The 23,245-nt window shown below is 53.1% G+C and overlaps 1 protein-coding gene across 23 annotated transcripts in view, besides 3 other annotated features; it reads right to left on the reverse strand.

Annotated features, from left to right (window-relative positions):
* SHANK2 (SH3 and multiple ankyrin repeat domains 2) overlaps positions 1-23,245 on the reverse strand; it is a 785,381-nt gene that overhangs the window by 251,289 nt on the left and 510,847 nt on the right. The window lies entirely within an intron of this gene.
* Positions 100-303: a silencer, noted in NCBI's record as "fragment chr11:70565347-70565550 (GRCh37/hg19 assembly coordinates)". NCBI's record gives its function as "represses an EF-1alpha promoter that drives an FKBP-Casp9 reporter gene in an ReSE screen in HepG2 liver carcinoma cells {active_cell/tissue: HepG2}" and the evidence as "EXISTENCE:reporter gene assay evidence [ECO:0000049][PMID:32094911]".
* Positions 20,248-20,799: an enhancer, noted in NCBI's record as "H3K4me1 hESC enhancer chr11:70585495-70586046 (GRCh37/hg19 assembly coordinates)". NCBI's record gives its function as "activates a minimal SCP1, AML or CMV promoter by ChIP-STARR-seq in naive H9 embryonic stem cells {active_cell/tissue: H9 hESC(naive)}" and the evidence as "EXISTENCE:reporter gene assay evidence [ECO:0000049][PMID:30033119]".
* Positions 20,800-21,351: an enhancer, noted in NCBI's record as "H3K4me1 hESC enhancer chr11:70586047-70586598 (GRCh37/hg19 assembly coordinates)". NCBI's record gives its function as "activates a minimal SCP1, AML or CMV promoter by ChIP-STARR-seq in naive H9 embryonic stem cells {active_cell/tissue: H9 hESC(naive)}" and the evidence as "EXISTENCE:reporter gene assay evidence [ECO:0000049][PMID:30033119]".

Below are 23,245 nucleotides of genomic sequence, written 5' to 3' on the forward strand. Positions count from 1 at the left end.
CCTGGGGTTCCAGATAGCGTGGGGTGTAACTCACTCCTTTGATTCCCGTTAGCCCACCCACGTTGGAATAGACACTTTGTGACGGTTCAAATAGACACTTTGTAACAGTTCAAAGATGAGAAGCGTGGACCTGGAGAAGGTTAGCGACTGGCTCAAAGTCACACAGCCAGGTAAGGGTGGACTTGGGGCTAGAACCCAGCGCTGTGCCCACCCACTATCCATGCCTGCTGCCCCAGCACTCCTGGGGACATGGACGTCATGGTGCTGTGTGCATGGGCACCCAGTGGGTTGCTGGGGATGAGGATGGAGCTGGGCTTCACTCTCATGGGTGGCCTGGCAGATGCTGAACCTAACCCTAATCCTGCCCGCATGCAGCATGGTGGAGGGGTGCAGAACCCTGACCTACGTGGGATCCTGGTTTCTGTGGCCCTTTCCTTCTGCCCGTGGTCTGATGTGATCTATGGGCAAATCGGAGGGTCATAAAAATAGCCCTACCTGGCACGCCAGGGGCCCAGGGGGCTGCTGCTGCTCACTGGGATTTCAGTGGGAGGCAGAAGCTGCGGAGACAGGAGGTAAAAATAGCAAGGGTTTCCACAACAGCCCCGCGCTCCCCTGCTCCAGCATTTGACACGGCAGCACACGAGATCCTCTTGTCCCACTGCGCTGGAATCTTAAAGGTTCCTGTCCTTGGAGACACCCTATCTTGCCAGGAAAATGAGGAGCTCGCAGCTGCACACAGCAGAGGCTCCACCTTCCCTGAAGTCCTTAAATCCCCCACATCAGGCTGACTAGGAAGGCCAGAAGTGGGTGAGGGCTGAGCTTCAAAGCAAAAGGGTTGGTCCCTTCCCAGTGGGTGACCCCAGGCAGGTTCCTCAACCTCTCTGAGATTCAGCTTCTGCATCAAGAATAAGCAGGCAGACCAGAACAGCTCCTGCTGGAAGGCAGAGCCAGAACCATCGGACCGCTGGAACCAGCTCCATGAGGGCAGGGTCCACGTTGCCCCTGGACACAGCTGCACCCCCAGGGCCTGGTACCTGGGAGATGCCCATAAACACCGACTACCTGCACACACGTGCTTATAAACTGTAGAGTACTGTACAAAGTGCCACGGTCATTTCTGATGTAGGGGTCATCACCTCGTCTAACTGGTTTATCACAAAATGGATGTGATCCAGGGACATCTCCAGAGGCTACAGAGAATGAGCCTGGGGTCTGGTGTCCACAGCCCCCGCCTGTCAATCTGCTCCCTGATGCCATGGGTGATGGGACTGGAGGAATGTCCCTGGCATTCTTGGCCCTGTGACTCCTTCGTTGGTGAAAAAGTGGGGATGGAGAAAGTGCCAGCTCCCAGGGGGCCATGAGGAGAACCCATGAGGGTGTGTGGAAAGTGTCTCAGTTGAAATCCACTCATCCGTCACACCCCCATGGCAGGGAGGCCCTAAGAGGTCCCCAGGAGGGAGGGCTGGAGATAGAGTTGTTTACGCTGTTCTTGGCCCAACACCAGTCTCTAATTACCCAGAAACATGCAGGAATGACAGGTGGGACTGATAGCTGTGTGTTCTTGCGGTATACATGTGCTGACACACGTGAACACGCATGTGAACATACACACACACATTCATGTAGCACACCGGCATGCACAATGCACACGTGTGCATGCACATATATACACACATGCTCACATACATGCAAACACATCTTCACACACACGTACATGTATGCACACCCATGCATGCACACATACACATCTGTACACACATGTTGGGGAGGAACAGAGGAGAGACTGGGAATTGGGAATTCTTTTCTTTGGAAAAATAATCTCAAGGCTTTCTTTCCCTCTGGAACCCAAAGGAGTCCAGTCCTCATTCCCCCAGTGACCTGAGCCCGGGCTTCCGTGTGCCAGGCAGGCCTGAGGTGAGATCCCTGACTGACCGGCAGTCCGGGCACCTTCTCTCTGTGCCCCTCCCTTTCCTCCAGTTAACACCTGGACATCTCTCCACCGACGTCTAGGGAGACAAAGGTCTCCCTGGCACGCTCTGCTGCTCCTTCCCGAAAGAGGCAAGCAGCTCTTGAGTTTCATTTCAGGCGCATCACACCTAGTGGGGCTGTGAGGGTTTCCCTCAGGGACTGCAGCCGCTCCTGGGCACACTCTGAGGCTTCCTCCGCAGTGTCTCACATGGGCATGCCTGAAGGTCGGTTCTCAATGAACTCTTGCCCATTTGGATTTAATACATGAGTCAGGATTAAATGCAGGGGTCAGAGATGCCAACATCTTGGGGCAGGCCGTGTGTACAGGAGCTGGTGCTCCACCACAGGGAATTGTAGGGGCTGGGCTCCACTGAATATTGGAGGTGTGTACACCCCACTGTTGGGGAAGGCCTGTTCTTTCTGAGGCCAGCTGTGAGTGGGGCTGGGCTCAGGGCACCACTTTGTGAGCAGCGTTCTTACTGAGGCAGTTCTGCCCCCAGGGTGTGGTCTGGAGGTTCGTGGGCCAGCTAGTGCTGTCCCAGTGCTGGGGAGGTACCACTGGCATGCCACAGGCAGGGCTGGGATGTGGGACCGTCAGCAGCCAGTTACCCTGCATGCAGGACTTCCAAAGGTCCCACCCAACCCTAGACAGGTGCAGTGTCTTTTCCTAACCATCTGAGCTCAGAGCCTAAACTCTTTTCGCAAGAAGCACAGCGTGTTTTGAGCACGGCTTGAATACATACAATTCTTCAGGAATGCCAATGACTTCAACATCAAGGGAAGAATGTCCTTTGTTTAGCTGAGGCTTTGAAAGAACTGCTCACCAATTCCCCCAAATGATGCCACTGGTGGCAGGGCCCGTCGAGGTGTGAGTGCACCTCATGTGGCACTCAAGGTGACTGCAGGATCATCCATCCCATCCTTTGTTTTCCCGTCCAGTGGCACCCAAGTGCATGGATCTGGAAATCATCTTCCCGCTTTGTCATGCCATCCTCTCCTCTGTCCTCACTGTCACTGCTGGGATGTGTGCTGTCTCTTGGTACTCAGCCCCATTCCTGCCCTTCAGTGCTCTCAGGGGCTAAGTATGCACACTGCATTTCCCACTCTCTTGCCAGGGCAGCAGTCAGGCTCTGCTGATGGGAGGCATTTGTGCAAAGTTGGCCTTAGTGGCTGGCACAGGTGGCCACTGAGGAATGTCAATAGGATGCTCCTCACGCTCTCAGCAATACCTCTTGGTTCTTTTTACTCCTGTAACCCTAAGGGACATGAAGGCTTCCTGCAGTGACCAATCTCTGGGTGACATCACCTGTCCCTTTCTGCTCCTCCAGCCTTTCCAACAGTTTTGGAAACAATTTCCTGATTCAATCCCCTCTGTTTGAAATACCTACATAGGCGATTGTTTTTTCTGACTGCATGGATTCATAAAAGGTATTAGCTTGAGTTTTTTGAAATTACGTATATTGTTAATTTTATTCTATAAGAATTTCATTTAAAGATAACAAGGGGAATCCTTGCACATCATTGTTTGAAAAAATGGGTGCAATGTGTCTATTAGAGGTGAGAACCACAGAGCAAAAATGAGAGATGGTTTCTTAAAGGGTTGAGGATGGTGGAGCTAGGAATAAAGGTCAAAACCACTACCTCCTAACATAGTGTACCTCGAAGGCTGCTGGTGACTTAACCTGGAGACTTATTAAAAGAATCTCTTAGCTTAAAAGCAGGACTTACGACTTATGAGAAGTGGCAGGAGAATAATGTGCTCAGAAAGATTCTAAGCCTCCTGAAAAAGAGGGTTTTGAAATAACCAAATGCTTTCAAAAGAAACCTACTTTGTTAGATAAAAATCTCACTGTTAATAATGAATAAGCCTCAGTTTTAACTTTTCTGCCTGGTCCCTCATCTCCTTACCTTTATGGGACTTTTTTACAAAGCACCGTCAGACCCCATGTGGGGCTAGAAATATGCTCATGGTCCTTGTGGTAGACAAACTCATAAGGTGGCCCTGGATTCTACCTTCTGGTCTTCAGGCCCTGATGTGATTCTCTCCCAATGAGCATGGGTTGGGTCTCAGACTTGCTTCTTCCAAGTAGAATACAGCAAAGGGGACAAGATATACATGACTTCATGCACATGATTATAGGATTATACGATTATATTAGATAGTAGCAATTTTCTTGCTGGAGGGTCTGTCTCTCTCTCTCTCTCTCTCTCTCTCTCTCGCTGGCCTGATGAAGCAAGCAGTTGCCTTGGGGAACCCCATCTAGCAAGGAGACACAGGTGGCCTCTGGTTGCTGAGAGCAGTCTCCAGCCCCCAGCCAGCAATGAAGCCCTTACTGATAAAAATACAAGGAACTGAATTTCTGCCAACAACCTGTGAGAGCTTGGAAGTGGACCCTTCCCCATTGAACCTCCAGATGAGAATGCAGCCCAACTCACAGGCTGAGTGAAGCCTTGCAGAAGGCTCAGCTAAAGCATGCCTCTCTCCTAACCCAAAGACACCATGAGAGAGTAAATGCATGTTGTTGGAGCCACTGATTTTATGGTAATATTGTCATGCAGCAACAGGTGACTAATCAAGTCCCACACTGTTTAGACTTATGAGCCATGCCATATAGCCTTACTTGGTGTAACACTATAAAATACTCTATGGGTGAAACTGTCTCTCCTAGACCTGAGGAAGAGGATGTAGAGAGGCAATATGGGAGAAGCAAACTGAAGAAAGAAACAAGAGCAGGTGTCCTCAAATAGTAATGAAGCAGCTCCAAGGAGCCAGCACTCTCCTAGGTGCTCTTCTGAGTACTCTAGGGACAGAAATAAGAGCAGTTCCTTTTCACAGCTCAAGACCTTGCCAAATCCACTTAAAAAAAAAAATCCCGCATCAAACCCTGACTCCTCAAGAGGTGTGTTCTGGAGGCCCCAAAGTTCATTCTTTTTTTTTTTTTTGAGATGGAGTCTCACTCTGTTGCCCAGGCTGGAGTGCAGTGGCATGATCTTGGTTCAATGCAACCTCTGCCTTGTGGGTTCCAGCAATTCTCCTGCCTCATCCTCCTGAGTACCTGGGATTACAGGTGCACACCACCACTCCCAGCTAATTTTTGTATTTTTAGTAGAGACAGGGTTTCACCATGTTGGCCAGGCTGGTCTCGATCTCCTGACCTCAAATGATCCACCTGCCTCAGCCTCCCAAAGTGCTGGGATTACAGAAATGAGCCACCGTGCCTGGCTCAAAGTTCATTCTTACACTTTGCTCAGTTAAGGAAGAACCATCTGTGCAGCAGGTTTTGTTGTGGTGGTGGGGTGTGTGTGTATGCATGTGCCTGTGGCCATAGGTGTAAAAATGTCTCCAAGCACTATTGCTGTCAGAGGACTCCATGTCACTAAGCATCCTGCTAAGAGCACTGTGAGCTCTTCTGGGTCTTTTCTGAGTCATCCTCTCCTCCTTTGATCTCATCAAGCATGGTATCCTTTTGGAAATATCAGACAGCATCCAATTTAGAGGATGCAAGAGGTCCAGAATTCCCGAGCTGGGAGGCTTAGAAGAGTTGTGGTGACCAGGTGACTGCCGCCAACCACGTCCTGTGGAGAGCTGTGTCGACACCTGCAGCCAGGCTCTCTGGGCAGCCTTGTGTCCAAACACCAGCTCAGAGGCAGCAGGAAGACGCTAACTCTGCGTTCCGGAAATGTCACCTGCTCAGTGTTTGGGAAGGGAAACCTCTCAAGATCTAACGGGGTGATCAGGTAGCAGACTCTAGTCAGAAGAAGCAACTTGCAGCTGATGCCCATACACCCTACAGGGGAGGAGACATTTGAGATGGGTGAGATAAGAAAAGTCCTCAAGGTAGTTAAAACCAGTCCCAACCAAATGTCGGTCTAAAAGGAAGGAAACCAACATTTGCTAAATGCCTACTATGTGCCATAAGCTTTCACAGGTAAGAAAAGATTTTTTAAAGTATGTTTTAAAAAAGGAATATTCCAAAGCTTGATTCTTTGGGGGGGAAAACACTTAAGCTAAGGCCATTATAAGACTATCTTTAGCGTAAATAACATGGGCAAAAATAAGCACCGTACAGTGTACTAAAGGGAGGGATGTTTTTCTACTGTGTGGAATTTTAGTGAGTAAATGTTTCCCTACAATATTCATAAATGCCACTAACACCCCAAAGCAGCAACATTTAACTTATTTGCAGCTGGTTCTGTGTCATATTTAAAATGAATCATTTTTCAACATTTGCGGACTCTTAAAAGCTGAGCGTGGCAGGAGGAATTTCCTTGGGTACTGGGACAGGAAGGCACATGGCGCTGAGGGCTTGCCAGGGTGCGGTGGCCCAGACCCGCTCCTCCCAAAGGGCCTGGGGCCTTTGACAGCTGCATGTCAGCTGCAACTGCTGGCTGGAGCCCGAGGCTAATGAGGTCAGAGCAAGGGCCTGGTGCCCAAAGAGGCTCACTATGGACCGAGTCACTTGGACCAGTGGGTGTTGTTCAGATGAACCTCACCCCAATACCGCACGATCCCAAGAGGATGCGAGGAGAAAAGATGCATCCATATCAACACAGAAACACTGCTATCCACAGCAACACTGAGAATGTCATTTATCAAAGGCCCACTTCTTGTCAGCACATTGTCGGTAACTCTACGTATTTTATTCCCTGTCTTCATGGATGACCCGGTAGACCTCTGAAGACAACTGAAAGATGGTGTACAATGAATGAAAAAATGTGTACAGAAGCATGGGGGGAAGAACAGCCACCTTCTAAGCTGCATCATCTCTGTTCCTCACAAATACCTAGACAAAGCAAGGCAGACGTGTTGTTCTAACTGCTCTGCCTGACAGTCCATAAAAACATGTCGAAGCAGCTGGATGCCCAGGAGGGTATGCGTGAACTCACACACACAGGCAGTGGAGGGACAGAGCTCAACTCGGAGCACCAGCTCTCTCCTCCATGTAAGCTTCTCCATGCTCAGCTGAGTTTCTCAGAGCTGTACTTGGTAAGTGCATTGAGGACTTTTACACCTACTTCCCCGCTTTAGGGATGGGTGCCTCTTTTTCAGTGAAATCTTACCCGGAACCTAACACAGAAGCAGCGAGTACAGAGGCCCTGCCCCCTCACCTCCCACCAGCATCTTGGAGGGACCTGAGCTCCCTGGGGCTGGGTTTGGAAGCTGGGGATAAAGAGCTCTTGCCTGTCTGTACCAAAAGCAGGAAGTGCAGAGGTCTGGCCACTAAAAGGAGCACCAGAAACCTCTGGTCAAGGTGCACTTTGTTAATTCACCAATGCCTTATGGAGCTCACATGCCAGGCTCTGGTCAGGAGGCTAGAGATGTGGGGTCTTTGCCCTGAAGCTGTTCTGAGTCTGGTGTGGGTGGGTGGGGTGGGCAGATAAATTAGACCCCCTTGGGATCAGGGCTGGAACGGAGGTGGACAAAGCTGGTGGAAGCCAAAAGGCAGGGGCAAGTGTCTCTGTCTGTGGAGATCAAAGATTTTCAGAGAGGGAGAAAGTAAGCTCATTTGGGAAGGCAGGTGGGGGTTGGCTGTGGTAGATGGCAACAAGACCTAAAATTATTCCCCTCCCTGAACCTACACCCGTATGCGATATGACTTTGCAGCTCCTCTTATCAAGAGACAAAGCCTGTCTGCCCAGACCTTAAACTTGGTCTGGTCCTGTGATACTGGCCAATAGCATGTGGTGCAATTGACCAGTTCTGAGTCTAGACTCCAAAAGGCCTCATGTGCTTCTGCTCACCCCTGGAAGGCTGTACAGCTGCCATGTCAGTAAGCCTGGGCTAGCCCACTAAAGGATGAGACCCAGATGCCCTGGTCATCCCTGCCAACTTGCTGAGAGCTCACCAACTGCCACTACAGACACAAATGGAAATCTACCTGGGAACAGAAGACCCTCCCTGCAGAACCCACCCTAATTTGACTTACAGAATCATGAGACAAATGACGGTTGTTTTAAGCCACTAACTTTTGGGATAATTTGTTATGCAGCAACAGCTGACTAATACATTATGACTCTGGGCAAGCCACTTGATAATTTAGCAACAGTTTTACCATCTACAAAATGGAGATGACAAATCTTGCCTCTGGCACGGAGCAGTTGTGAGAGTCACATGGGAAACTATGTAAAAATGCATTGCGAATTTTAAAGTGCAAGGTAGCCGGGGTGGAAGTATTACTATTAGAATAACCTGGAAGACAAAATGTGGGAGGTTGGCCAATACTTCACATATGAACTGCTATATTTGGGGTCTTTCTCCAGAGACAGCAGAATTCCCTGAGGGGTTCCTTCGGGGATGCCAAGTCTCCACTGACTCTTGTGTAGTTTCCAGGGCTTTCTGGCAACTAAGGTGGTAGGTAATTTGTTCCCTGATGTAAGAGGCACCATGGTAGAGCAGGGGTATCCTAGGAGCTGGCATCCCAGGCAAGGTGTTGGTATTCTGGCCCTATTGCTTTGTAGCTTACGCTCTAAGCTAAGACTGTTCCTCTTGCTAGGTGGTTTCTTTGTGGGTAAATGGATGCTGCTACCCCTGCTCTGCATTCCACATGGGGCAGGCATACGGTAAAAATGAGGTGGCCCATGTCAAAAATTGGTACCACCCTGGGTTAAGACTCAGGATAGAGGACCTCCCAAGGTCCCGGGTTGGGGGCCCCAGCCCTACCCGCAAGCATTCAGATGGTGTGGTCAGCAACACAGCCTCTGTTCCCCCAAGACGCTGGATGGGGGCCATGGGCTGTCCTCAGTTTCTGTGCACAAACATTTACATCAACAAAAGAAAACTTCCAGAGCAGTAAGTAATTTTCCTCAAGGGACAAAGGAGGCGAGAGGTGTTCTGATGAGTTTTGTTGGCTGACATTTTTCAGAAGTTATTTACGGGCTCAGCAAAGGCATTTATTGTGTTTAGTGTTCTATGCTATAAATGCTTTGGAAAAGGAGAGTAAATGAATATGCAAGCACCCAGTGTCAGGGCAAGAACAGGCAGGTGTATGCGGAGCCTACAGCTTCCCTGGCGGCTCCCTGTTGACTGTCACCATAGAAACCGAGCCATGGGGTTAAACCGACTCCCAAAGGGCAGTGCTTGGTTAGGAACACAGGGAAAAGTACTCCCCAGTTGGAATCCAACAAATGAGAGTGTCCCACACCTCCCCAGATGCAGATGGGTCCTTGTGGGATCCAAAGAGGATCCCTCTGGGATATGTGAGAAGGGACAGAGGTTTGTCTGCAGCCAGAGGCCGGATCCGAGGCACCGTGACTTGGGAGTGGTCACACTCGGTTTACTTGGTAGAAGGCAGCCCCCTTACTGCCAATATAACTCAAGACAGCCTGGCAGCTGGACTGGTTCATCACGCAGACTCAGGAAGCGTCCTGGGCGGAAGCAAAGTCATCCCAGGGCTTCAAGGAGCCCCAGATGAAAGCCACAGGTCCAGAGCTTCTGAGTGGAACGGGGCTGGGCTTTTTGAGTCCGATGGACAGAGATAATGGATTCTTACCCAAACAACACATCTTCCTGGAAACAAACAAGGCACAAACAAATACGCACGCCCAGAACACTGACCATGGGTGGTCTTTCTTCTGCCCAAGGTGCTGTTTGAATTACTGTGTTACCCCCAATTCAGGTTTGCTTTAAAGAAAAACAAAAAACCAGTTCCAAACACTTTCAGTGACACTCACACCTTCTCCTACGCATGCCCTCTGATCACGTAAGGAGGCCTGCAGCTAAACATACCCATAAGGGGTTCAAGAAAATGATCCTCCCAGTGGGAGATGGTGCAGCACGGACTGACTGGTGTTGGCACCTGAGAAGGAATGAAGGGCCGGGCGTGGTGGCTCATGCCTGTAATCCTAGCACTTTGGGAGGCCGAGGTGGGTGGATCACCTGAGCTCAGGAGTTCGAGACCAGCCTGGCCAACATAGCAAAACCCTGTCTCTACTAAAAGTACAAAATTAGCTGGGTGTGGTGGCGGGTGCTTGTAATCCCAGCTACTTGGGAAGCTGAGGCAGGAGAATCACTTGGACCCAGGAGGCAGAGGTTGCCGAGATCGCACCACTGCACTCCAGCCTGGGTAACAGAGCAAGAATTCATCTAAAAAAAAATTAAAAAAAAAAAAAGAAGAAAGAAAGAAATACTGATACACGTGGCAACACAGATGCGTCTCAGGAACTTCCTGCTCAGTGAATGAAGCCAGACACCAAGGGCTCTATCTACACATGTCCAGATACACATGTCCACAGAGGCAGAAAACAGACTGGTGGGCTCCAGGGACTGGGGGCTGGGGGAAATAGGGAGGAAGTAACTGCTTCATGGGCACGGGGCTTCCTTTTGGGATCTAAAAGTATTCTGGAGTGAGCGAGAGAGAGGTGGCTGTTGTACATACCTGTGAATGTACTCATGCCACTGCACTGTGTACTTTCTTCATTTTTTTTTTTTTTTTGAGATGGAGTCTCACTCTGTTGCCCAGGCTGGAGTGCAGTGGTGCGATCTCGGCTCACTGCAAGCTCCGCCTCCCAGGTTCACGCCATTCTCCTGCTTCAGCCTCCCGAGTAGCTGGGACTACAGGTGCCCGCTACCACACCCGGCTAATTTTTTTTTGTATTTTTTTTTTTAGTAGAGACGGGGTTTCACCATGTTAGCCAGGATGGTCTCGATCTTCTGACCTCATGATCTGCCTGCCTCAGCCTCCCAAAGTGCTGGGATTACAGGCTTGAGCCACCGTGCTTGGCCTGCACTGTGTACTTTAAAAATGGGGATAGTTCTGGCGTTTGAGAATGATATCTCAACAAAGTGTTACTAAAAAAAAAAAAAAAAAGCCGATAGGTGCCTGAGCCAGGTGGTCTAAGTCCCAAACCTGCTCCACCACCTAGGGGTTCATGATGTGGGGCAAGCAAAACCGCCTCTCCCTGCCTCGGTTTTCTCCTTTGTCATGATACCTACCATTGCAGATGTGTCGGGCCTGGATGTGTCAATGCACGTGAAGCTCTTAGAAGGGCCTTGGAGAGGAGGAAGTGGGACCTGTGTGCCAGCTGCTATTATGTGTTTCAATCTTATCATCAATGCTATTTGCAGCATGAGGCCCCAGGAGCTGGCACAGGTGAATCTCCTTCTGTGGAGTTCCCCGAGCTCTTTGAAGCAGGATGTGTACATTGGTTCAACGAACACCTAGACTGTGAGTTCCTGGCCTGTCAGTTCCTTGCCTTCTCCACTCCTGCCCTTGCACCTGCCTAGTGCAACAGGCCCTGAGATTGCAACCTCCCCACTCACGCCCAATTGTCCCCATGATCTCATCACAAATAGATGCCCAGGACTCACCCCCGAAGCCCATCCCTATAAAGCTGTGCACACCCCTAACTGGACTGCATCTCACCCGACTATCCCAGACTCAACCCCAATGCCCACCCCTGTAACGCTGAGTGTGCCCCTAACTGGACCGCATCTCCCAGCCCTTCCAGCACTGTCCTCAGAGCTGCCTGATGAGCTGATGTCTCCTCACATCCATTCCTACCCTGGGCACCTGGTCCCTGCAGATGAGCAGCCAGGCTCCTGGCCAGGCCAGCATCTCCTCCTCTCCCTGCTGAAGGATGAGGCTGCTGCGGCAGGGCCACCAACTCCCAAATCATCCAAGACATCTTCTCTGGACTCCATGTCTTCATTTCAGCAACTTTCCTTCCCAAAGTGGCGTCTGCTCACTGCTATGCCTGGGACCTCTCTTTTTTATTTCTTTTTTTTTTTTTTTTTTGTAATTTAGGTGAAATTTACAAAACTGAATACTAATCATTAAAAAAATACAATTTGTTGGCAGTTAACACATCCACAATGCTGTGCAACCAGCACTTTTATCTAGTTCCAGAACATTTAAATCACCCAAAAAGAAAATCTCATACCCATGAAGCAGTCACTCCATGTTATGGACTAACCTGTGTGCCCGCAACACACATATGTTGAAGCCCCAACGCCTAATTTGACTGTATTTGGAGATGGGACCTTTAAGGAGATAACTAAGGTTAAATGAGGTTGTAAAGGTGGGGTCCTGATCCTTAGGATTAGAGTCCTTATAAGAAGAGAAAGAAACACCTGTGCACCTTCTTGCTCTCAGCACACACAGAGAAAGACTATGTGGGGACACAGTAAGAAGGTGGCCGTCTGCAAGCCAAGGAGCGAGGCCTCACTGGGGACTGAATTTGATGGCACCTCGGCCTATGACTTCCAGCCTCCAGAACAGTGAAAAAGTAAGTGTCTGTTGTTTAAGCAACAGTCTGTGGCATTTTGTTATGAAAGTCCAGGCTGACTGACATACTCCCCGCTCCTTCTCCCCCATCTCCTGGCAACCACTCATCTACTTTCTGTTTCTACGGATTTGCTAATTCTGGGCATTTCACAGAAATGGAATCACACAGTACACAATGTGTGGCCTTTTGTGTCTGACTTCTTTTACTCAGCATCCTGTTTCCCACACTCATGTGTGCTGTGTCAGTCCCTCATTCCTTTTAAGGGCTGAATAATATTCCATTCACTGGACAGACCACAGTCTGTCCATCCATCCACCTGCTGGTGGGCATCTGGGCTGCTTCTGCTTTCTGGCTATTATGGATAGTGCTGCTGTGAACATCTGTGCACAGGGACTTGTCTGGACACCTGTTTTTAATTCTCTGGGGCTCTCTTCTTTCTTGAGCCCTCAAAACCAGATTCACACCAGCTACCAGCAAGGTGCCTGTGGCCTCCACGCTGCGAGGTGGAACGGCTGATGAGCAGCCCTCGTCTCAGCTGACACAGCCGCCTCCTCCTCCTGCACGTGCTCTGCCGGGCTGGGGTGTGGCCAGGCTCTCCAGATGTCCCCTTTCTCACTTCCTGGATGCTCCTGGCCACTCCTGTGGCCTCCTCCTCAGCTCCCCATCCTCTGAACGCAGTCCTCTGTGTCTTCCTCTCTGGCCACACACACCCCCAGGGTGACCTGCTCAAGTCTTGGCTTCAGATGCCATCAGACTCCTGTGGCCCCAGCCTCACCCTCCAGCCCAACCCATGCAGGCTCCACCCTGACACACTACAGGCTGCTCAAATGTAACTCGCCCAACATCACACGTAACATCACCCCATCTCTGCCCTGGCGCCTCATCCAGTTGCTGAAGCCGCAAGCCTCGCCTCTGCTCTCACCCTCCACAGCCAATCAGACAGCAAGTGCCTGCAGGTCACAGACAACTCCGGACCCTTCTTGCTGCCCATTCACAATCTCTGCTCTGGCCTGAGCCACCTTCCTCTCTCTCCTGGGCCCTGTGCCTGGCTCTGGACCAGTCTCCCCACTTCTCTACTGCTCTGTCCTTTCTCCACCTGGCCCCAAAGCCATCCTTAGAAAGCCGAACCCATCACATCTCTTGCCTGCTCAGACCCTTGCATGGCCCAGGATTTTTTTCTGTGTCCCCCAGCCTCACTGAGCTGGGCTCAGCCTATGTGACCACACCTCCCCGACCCTCCCCTCCCTAGAAGCTACAGCCGCGCTGCCCTTCTTGCTGTTCCCCAAGCACAAGTCCATTCCCGCCATGGGGCCTTTGCACCTGCTGTTCCTGCTGCCTGCAGTGCCCCAGCCCATGCCCACGCAGCCCATGCCCTTGCTTCTGTCCGGTCTCTGCTGACACATCCCACCTCTAGGTGGCCATTTTTGTCCTGCCTAGGAAGCCTGCCCTCCCCTCTCCAGCACTCCCCAGCCCTGCAGCTGCTTCACATCCCCAGCAGCTGCCATTTCCCTGCAGGGGACAGGCCTGCCGGCTCTGTGAGGGCAGGGACTCTCTGTTTTGCTTCCGGCTGTAACCCCAGCTCTGGAAATGGTGTCTGGCACACACAGCCCGCGCGAATAGTGCTCTGTGGAATGAATGAATTCTAAGCTTCTCCTGCATGTCAGATGCTGCCGATGGAGTGATGACTAAGCAGTGGCGAGGGCACAGGCTGGGCGGGGTGGGAGAGACAGACGCGGAGCAGATCATCTCAACTGAGTGGGATCGTCCGCGACAGAAAGACGTGTCACATGCTACCGGAGCCACTGAGAGTGCCGGGAGAGGACTTTGCTTGAAGCGTGGAGAGGAGGGACTGTCACAGCTGGGTTTTGCAGGATGAGTAGGAGTTGGGTAGATGGACATGTGAGGGAAGGGCATCCCAGGAAGGAGGAAGAACATAAGCAAAGGCCCAGAGGTGTGAAAAAGTTTAGTATGTTTACACAGAAGCAAGGAGTTGATTCATATTAACAATTTATGTGTGATACAGAATGTCTCATTCAATGCACATATTAGCCCTGTGTGGTGGGTACAGTGATCATCGCCATTTTAGGATCTGAAAAAAGAATGTGAGAGGCTCCATCCCTTTCTGGAGGCTTCACAGCTATGGGTGACTGAGCTGGGATTGGAACCCAGGGCTGCTGCCTGCTTTTGTCAATAAAGTTTTATTGGCATGCTGCCACTCCATTCATGGGGGTACTGTCTGTGGCTGCTGCCTGCTACAAAGGCAGAGCTGAGAGGCTGCCACAGGGAGCACATGGCTCCAAAGGCTAAAATATTTACTCTCTGGCCTTTACGGATAAACTCTGTGGACCCCTGGCCTAGGTCATGGAGAGGGGGGTGGCAGGTAAGTTAGGGTGGGCCGTGCCCCACTAGAAGAGGGACCCGGGAAGGAGGGCCTGGCAGGTCTGGGGAAGAGGGAGGCCCAAGAAGAGGGGCAGGCTCAGCTCCCATGAGGTGTCTGTGCAGGCACAGGGAACGGTGAGGACAGGGACTCAGCTGCCAAGGCGGGGAGGGTGACCCCCCAAGCACTTGCTACCCCTGGGTGCCTTTGCTAGGCCCACCTCGTGCCTGGCCAAGGTGGGACCTGGAGACAAAGCGAAGCCATGGCTCTGTGTACTTGCTCGCGCACTCACACACTCATGGAAGACAGGGGAGGGTGTGCAGTGACTGGGGAGAGGGGAAGAGTCACCAGGGGCTGGGAGGTCCCTGGCAGCAGGGAGGGGGCAGGAGGCACCCCCTGAGCCGCGCATCTGGGAGGAGCAGGTGGAGTATGCAGAGCAGAGCCCGCGGGAGGGAGTGCCGGGCAGCAGGTGCGGCAGGGGCAAGGGTGTGGAGGCCCTTCCAGGGCACCGTGACGGGGGAACTGGCTATGCGAGGAGATGTTTTAACTGGGTTGTTCGAGAATGTTTTGCCTGATGCTTCTGAGCAGGGATTGAACGGGCAGAATAGTTAAAACCCGAGGGAGGTCGAGTGAAGGTGTGTGAAGGTGACTTCAAAGGTGAGGCGCATTTCATGATGAGCGTGAGGGCGCCAGTGGGCCGCCTGACTCCCATACCCAGTCCACACGCTCCACACTGACAGCTCAGGGTGCCTGTAGCTGGGCTGGCAAAATTCAGCCAGGCTTCACCAACCACAGGCAGAGTCCAGGAGCCCAGCGGACACAGAGCCCTCCTGCTGTGTGCTTCAAAGGATCCAATGGGCGAGGACCAAGGGGTGGGGTGGGGAGGACACAGGCCCAGCCAGGGCCCCCCGACCAATACCAACTCTCCTCCCAGCCAGAGGCTGCCCTGGCCCAGGCTTTCAGCAGGGGCCCCACAGCCTGTGCCCTGGAGGCCAAGGGGTGTCCTCAAGACCGAAGGGTGCTGAGGGGTGGCCTGGGGACCAGCCAGTGTTACATAGCCACAGGAATGGCTGCTGGCCCCGAGGGCCTACCCAGCAACCACCTGAGCGATGAGGACCCTTGGGGACGGCCCTCCTGCCACCACCCTCCCCCAGGCTTGGGAAGGAAAGAGAAATTCTGCCAAGAACAGAGTACAAGGCCCATGAAGCTGGGAATGGCAGGATATTTTAAGCAGTACAAGGGGGATTCTGGGTTGCCCTGGAGACGAGCGGGCCCAGGCCTCGGCGGCTGTAGCACATCTGTGCTCTGTGAGGCCAGTCCCGTGTCTGGGCTCAGGGGCGAAGGGGACCCCTCCATCGCGGGGTCAGTGTGGGAAGGTGGGCGAGGCCGTGGCCTCCCCCCAGGTGGGCAGGTTTTCGGGACTCTGCCCAATCTGTCAGGGAACCCACTGCCCTGTGTTCAAGGGACTATCTTCCCCAAGAGAGGCGGCGGGGACTGAGGACAGAGGCGCACCTTGTGAGTGTTCTGCAAGTGTCCCAGGTGGAGCTGGGCAACCAGGCAGGGTCTTGGGAAGGCCTGGCTTCCCGAGAGATCCTTCCTCGGGGAGGAGGGATGTGCAGGGAACTCCAGAGAGGAAGAGGAAGCCACACCTGTGGAGGCTTCCTGGGGTCCCGCAAGCCAGCCTCACCCAGCATGATAGAAAATGTGCAGAGGGCTGGGTGTGGTGGCTCATGCCTGTAATCCCAGCACTTTGCGATGCTGAGACAGGCAGATCACGAGGTCAGGAGTTCGAGGCCAGCCTGGCCAACATGGTGAAACCCCATCTGTATTAAAGATACAAGAAATAGCTGGGCGTGGTGGCGGGCGCCTGTAATCCCAGCTACTTGGGAGGCTGAGGCAGAAGAATTGCTTGAACCTAGGAGGTGGAGGTTGCAGTGAGCTGAGATCGTGCCATTGCATTCCAGCCTGGGTGACAGGGTGAGACTCTGTCTCAAAAAAAAAAAAAAAAATGTGCAGAGGGAGGGAAGTGGGAGGCCGAGTACTCCTTCTCCCAGTGCTCACTGGCCCCAAGGTCCACCTCCCCAGAGCACCATGCACTGGCCCAACTTGAGGTTCTTGTAGCTCTCTCTTCAGCGTGTCCACCCTTCAGGCAGGTGGCTGCGTGGTCATGCTCTCCAAACCCTACACCCATCACCATCCTAGCTGCTCACCTCCACAAGCTCCATTCACCTCCCTTGCCTTGGGTACACACTCCTTATGATGTGACCTCAGATCCTGCCACTTGCCATGTTTTCCTGATCCAGGCCATCGCCTTCCTCCACAGCCACTAGAGTAGACAAGGATGGGCAAACTAGATCCAAGCCTGACCCAGGTCTGAGGCTCGGGAACAAGAACCCAGCCAAGCCCAGTGGCAGAGGAGCCAGTCAAGGCCCCTGGCTGGGTTCTGAAACCACACACACCTGTGTTCACATTCAGGCCATGCATGGCCTCCTGGTGGCCAACCGCTCGTTTCAGAGCTCACTCATTCAGCAAATAGTTACAGTGTGCCCCTCTCTAGTTGTGAGGATGTAACTGTGTGGGCGGGGTGAGTGCTGGTCCCCAAAAGATGTGACTGTACCCTAGCCCCCGAAACCCACGAGTGTGACCTGATTTGGAAAACAGCTCCTTGTAGGTGTGATTGAGTTAAGGATCTTGGGATGAGGAGATCACCCTGGATTTCCCAGGGGGGTCTTAAATCCAATGATACGTGTTCTTCTGAGAGTCAGAAGAGAAGACACAGACACAGAGCAGAAGGCCATGGGAGAACAGAGGCAGAGATGGGGAAATAGGGCCACAGCCGATGAATGCCTGGAGCCACCAGGAGGTGGACGAGGCAGGAAGGACCCTCCCCTAGCAACTGTGGAGGGAGCACGGCCCTGCTGCCACCGTGATATTGGACTTCTGGACTCCTGAACTGAGACAATCCGTTCTCTGCTGTTCTGAGCCACCCAGTTTGTGGTCCTCAGGAGAGTCACACGGCTTCATTCCATGGCGGCTCCCCGCCACGCACCCCAACACAACCCCCACCCCACCCTCACACCCTTCAGATCCCAGGGATGAAGCAAAGGACAGCACCATCTCCCTGGGGGTGAAGTGGCTTCTCCAGAACCAAACGGTTTGTCAAGATGTGGTCAGGGCCAGGGACTGAACGTGAAATGGGAACGGAATTCAGCCTCTTCCTTGCGAGAACCTGGGGGTTCTGAAACGTGGCCTCTAGAATCCCAGTTTCTGTGTGAATTTCTTGTACCATGTGTGTTCCCAGGGGCCTGGGGAACCTGTCCCTACTCTCCTTCACCCGCGGCCAAAGTGGGGATAAAATCCTTTCTGAGCCAAAGTCCCGAGCCGCGGGCTACACCCCTCAGAGACTCCTGGGACTGCCAGCCCTGCCCAGCCACCCTGGTGGAGTCAGGTCCCTCACAGGCTGGGTGCAGCCCCCCAGGGGTAGGGGACTGGCTTCTGGGTGCAGCTGCATTCACTATCATTTCCCAGCCATGTGGCGCATCCTCCCGTTTCAATGTTAAAATAGAAACAAGTTCAAGGAAGATGCATTCACCTGCCTGATCTGCCTGCCAGCTTCCTGTGAGGTGGCAGCCCCAACGGCTCTGAAAATGATCCTCACCCATCAGGGTCCCGGGCTCAGCTCTGTGCCCTCTGCACCTGGGACACGCCAGCCCCCAGGTGGCCTGGCCTTCTTTGAGATCTGTCCAGAAACACGTGCCAGGCACAGGTGGCTCAATGAGACTCTGTCCGAGTTCCCCAGCCCTGCATGCATCTCGCTCCAGACATCCCTGGCCACCTCCATCGCATTGAGTCCAAACCCACATGATACACCCCATTTCTCTCCAGGAGACTGTCTGCAAAGGCTTCCGCGCTCCCTGACCCTCTAGAGAGGGCAGCCCAGGCCCCAGTGGGCAGCCAGTATAGGACGGGCAGCCCGGGGCAGGGCTGCAGCCTCAGCCCCATCTGGAATGCGAGGGTGGTGCTCCTCCCACAGACCCTTACATCGCAAACATTTTGAGGACAAATGATTCCAGAATGAAGGCTTCTTGGGGCCGGTTTTCCCTGCACACAGATGGCAAGGAGGCCCGTCATTTGCAAGAGCTGGCACTTAAATGAAAAAACACTAAGTATATTTGCTAATAAGGTTCCAGGGTGAGCATGTGTGACAATGACAAGTGTGAAGGTGCCCTACGGTGAGCCGCGGAGACGTGGGCATCACACCAGAATCTGGGCCCAGGCCTCATGATGCCAGGAGCCGGGTGCCGGGCTCGGCAACTACTGCACCGGCTGGCTGCACGGTGACAAAGCCCGCAAGACGGTGGCAAGAGCTCCCTTGCATATCGCATGGTTGGCTGAAAGCCCCGAAATCTGTCCTGACACCAAAGCAACCATGCATCGCACAAGAGAATCAGCACACATTCCAGGAGGGGCTTGGCAGCAATGCCACGAGTTTCAAAACTGCTAAGAGACCTGGTAGATGCTCGAGCCTTACAACAACCGAAGCTTCCGAGGAAACCGCGTCTGGCCTGGCAGAAAGCCGGACTCCCATCAACAATGTGCAGGGAAAGGCGCTCCCCTCTGTCTTCTGTGCACCAACCCCAACCATAAACACTCAGTGGAGGCTGCACCACAGCCCTGAGGGGCGCTGTGCTTGTTTGCAGGTCACAAGTTGGACGCCCAAGGCTCCGAGCAGTACCGTGGCTGAGGCTGCACAGGAAGAGGCCGCCATCACTGCCCCTCGTGTGCGGGGAGCAAGTGCATTCCCAGGGCCCATTGCAGGGAAGTCCCCGGAATCTACAAAGCTGCCCCATGGTGTTCTGGTCTGTTTAGGCCCAAACTTATCCACTGTTTCAGCTACCCAAGGGACCAATGGAAGCACAGCCAGCCGCTGGACCCCTCGTCCTGTCTTTCTGCAGTGGCCACCGTACTCATTCTTATAACCCCCATCAGTGCTGACCCGTCTCCAGGCTATGTCCCCTGACAATAGAGCCAACTAGCCAGAACGCCCACTGTGCCAGAAGCCGCCCGCCTCTTTGGAGGGAAGTGGTAGTTTACAACAAAAGCAGTAAGCAAACCACCTCACGGCCTCCAGCCACGTCCATGCACTGCCACCAGCCTGCCCAGGCCCCAGAGGGTTCTGCTGCCCCCCTCGAATGGAGATCCGGCCCATGGAGAAAGACAGCGGGGTCACTGGACTCAACTTTCCCATGTAGGGAGGGGGTCTGTGGCCCGACGGAAGGACCTGTGGTGTTCAGACACCCCTCTGGATTCAGTGAGTAGGGCTGGTGAGTTTCTCCAGCCAAGATGCTGCATATCCCACCATCTGGCCCCATTGTCTGGGGACAGGACACACTCCACTTTATCTCCTGGCCAGTGAGTTAGGCAGGTGGCATGGCTGAGCCCCATCAGGAGCCTGACCCACCAGCAACCAACTGAACCTCAGCCAGAGGGCCTGATGGTGGGGATGCGGCATGTGAACTTCAGGGGCACACAAAGCCCAGACGCAGACCCGGGGCATCTCCCATCTCCACCCATCTCCACTCATCTCCACCCATCTCCACACATCTCCACACATCTCCACCTCCCCACAGAAGGGAGGAGGCCAGGAGGTGGACAATGAAGACAATCGTGTGGAGCAGCTGCTGCGGTGAGGCCAGGCACAGACTCCAGCCTTGACGCCCAGGCTGCCCCGTCCTCTCCTCTTGCCCCTGAAGTCTACCTGTGCCCACGTGGGGAGGGTGTTTGTGCCTGTGCCTTGTCTGGGGAACACCTGGATCATGACCTGTGGCTGCTGGGCTCCACCAGATCATGTGATTTGTCTTGTTCTGGTTTCAGATTCTGAGCCTGGTGAGGTTGGTCCAGGGTCCCACCACCAGCCAGGGTCAGCTGGGCCCCAGGGAGGCTGTGATGGGCTGAACGGAGTCCCTCCAAATTCATATGCTGAAAGCCTAACCCCTGCTCCTCAGAATGTGACTGTATTTGGAGATAAGGTCTTTAAAGAGGTGATTAAGTTAAAACGAGGTACTGTGATGGGCCCTCATCCAGCATGACAGTGTCTTTGTAAGACAAGGAGAGCCAGACACACGAGGCACCAGGGAGGCACCCACAGAGGACGGCCACGTGAAGACAGGCCAGAGCCGCCGCAGAGGATGATGATCCCGAATCCTGGCATTCGGTGGCACGCAGGTAGGGCACAGAAGTCCAGCTTGGCTCCTTCGCCATCAGGAGACCTTGGACAGTCACACGACCCAGACCAGGGGCCCGGCAGGGGCAGGAATTTTGGGATTGTTAATGGCTCCGTCCACAGCACCTAGGACAGACAGTGCCTGCCACACAGCAGGTGCTCATGGCTCCGTCCACAGCACCTAGGACAGACAGTGCCTGCCACACAGCAGGTGCTCATGGCTCCGTCCACAGCAGCTAGGACAGACAGTGCCTGCCACACAGCAGGTGCTCACTGGACACAGGAGGTGCTGAATGAAAGACTGAAAGGGCTTCTCTGCCGCTGCAGCCCACATCTGTATGAATGAAAACCATAAAGGTTGTCCGCAATGGGTTCTCGTGACAACCCATGAGAAGGGCTCCCTCTGGGGATAGAAACACTGTATGTGTTCGACAAATAAATGCCAGCCCGTTTATCCTGACCTCTGCTCTGTGTCTCTGTGGCCTGAGATTCCCCTAGGCTGGGACCACCCACCCTCCACCTTGAGTTCCTGAAGCTTCCCCGGTCTTTTCTGGGTCTCTCAAATCCTCGGTTGTAAACAGGGAGTAGCTGAAGCGCCCTCATCCCCTGGGGTGATGCGTCAGAGGAACTGGGACTGAAGTCTTCCTGTTCCTCCCCCTCACCCCCTGCCCGGTTGGATAGGCCCCAGCAAGCAGCATCAGTCAGCCCAAGTTTATTTTTAATCACATGATTACCCGGGGTCTTTTGTCACTTAAGCAGTTTAACTGGGAGTGCAGCACTCCCACAGCAGAGCAGCCAGAAGAAGCGTCAGCTGGCACAGCCTGGTAGCAGTGGACAGAGGGAGCCAGTCCTTGGAGCCAGCCTCTCCCCAGAGGCAGTTCTGGATGTCCAAGGCCAGTCTGGTCCTATCCAGCAGATGGGAAAGGGCAGAATCCCTCACTGAGGGAACATCCTGAGTACCTGCAGCCCCTGGCCAGGTGGTGCCCATGTGTGTTGATCAAGGGGACAAACTATGACTGAGACTGATTTGATGGGCAGCAAGGTGGAGGGGATGAGGTTATTTGTGTTATCTCTTGCTTAACTGTTCATCCATTCAACTTCCGCTCATCCCATCTGTCTATCCATCCATCCAATCATCCATCTCATAAACTGAGCTATTGCTCATTGAGCACCTACCTGATATACCTTCTCCCACTTTTGAACTCCCTCAAATTCTCAGAGGTGTCGCCTACCCATCCATCCATCCATCCATGCATTCAACCACCCATCTATCCAAACATTCATGCATTTAACCATGCATCCATCCATCCATCCATCCATCCATCCATCCATCCATCCATCCATCCATTCATCCATCCGTGCATCCAACTATCCATCCATCCATGCATCCAACTACCCATCTATCTATCCATCCATCCATCCATCCATCCATCCATCCCTCCATCCATCCCACCCATACATTCATTCGCTGTTCACTGAGCACCAACAGGTATCTTCTTCTACCTTCAGACCCACTTAGCTTCCCAGAGGCATTGCATAGTCACTCATCCATCTGCCCACCCATCCACCCCATGTATCTGTCTGTACCTCACTGAGTACCTACCAGGTACCTTCCCCCACTTTCTTGGAGGTACTGCCTACTCATTGTTCCCAGCTGCCTGGGTACCCTGTGTGTCCTCCCCAGGCCCCTGACATGTCCCCTGCCAGGTTTCCAGTCTCCTCTGCACCCTATGCCTCACCATAACTTAAGTGGTTGATGCTTACCTCCTCGGAGAAGGAAGGAAACTAGCAGAAAACCTACTATGTGTTGAGCACACAGGCTGCCTCTGTTTTTTCATTAAACAGTCATCACACGTCCATAAGGGACCATCCTACTTTTCTAAGAAGTCACAACTGGCAAGGAGTAAGGAACAGAAGGCATATTTAACTCTAGATCCAGGATTCCTTCTGCTGCCCCCAGCAGTCCCACAGGAAGTAGCCCCCATGCTGGTGGACCCTGAGAACTGTTAAGGAAAGAGTCAGTGTCCAGAATTCCAGATTCCCACCTGGTTCCCCTGCTGCCCCAGCTACAGGACTGGTCTCTTCCGAGTCCCCACCTCCTCATCTGTAAAATGGAGTAATGAAAACCACTCACAAGGCAAAACATTAGATACACTGGCTGTCCACCTAGGAAACTCCAAATTCTGACAACTTCCAAACCCTGGAGGCCACTGCCCTGTCCCTGAGCCCACATCCCCTGTGGCCTCATGGGCCAGGGAAGCAGACAGCTTGCAGTCCTCTATGAAGCAAAGCCCCTTCCTCCTCCTTCTGCTGGCAATCTCCTACTCATCCTTCAAAACCCAGGTGGACTGTTGCGCACTCTGGGAAGTCACAGCTCTCCAGACCCTATTGTCTCTTGGTTTCTACCGACTGCTCTTGAACCCACAGGGTGAAGAAAAAGGGCCTGTCCCTCA

The sequence above is a fragment of the Homo sapiens genome, chromosome 11 (genome assembly GCF_000001405.40).
Source record: "Homo sapiens chromosome 11, GRCh38.p14 Primary Assembly".
NCBI classification, from domain to species: domain Eukaryota; kingdom Metazoa; phylum Chordata; class Mammalia; order Primates; family Hominidae; genus Homo; species Homo sapiens.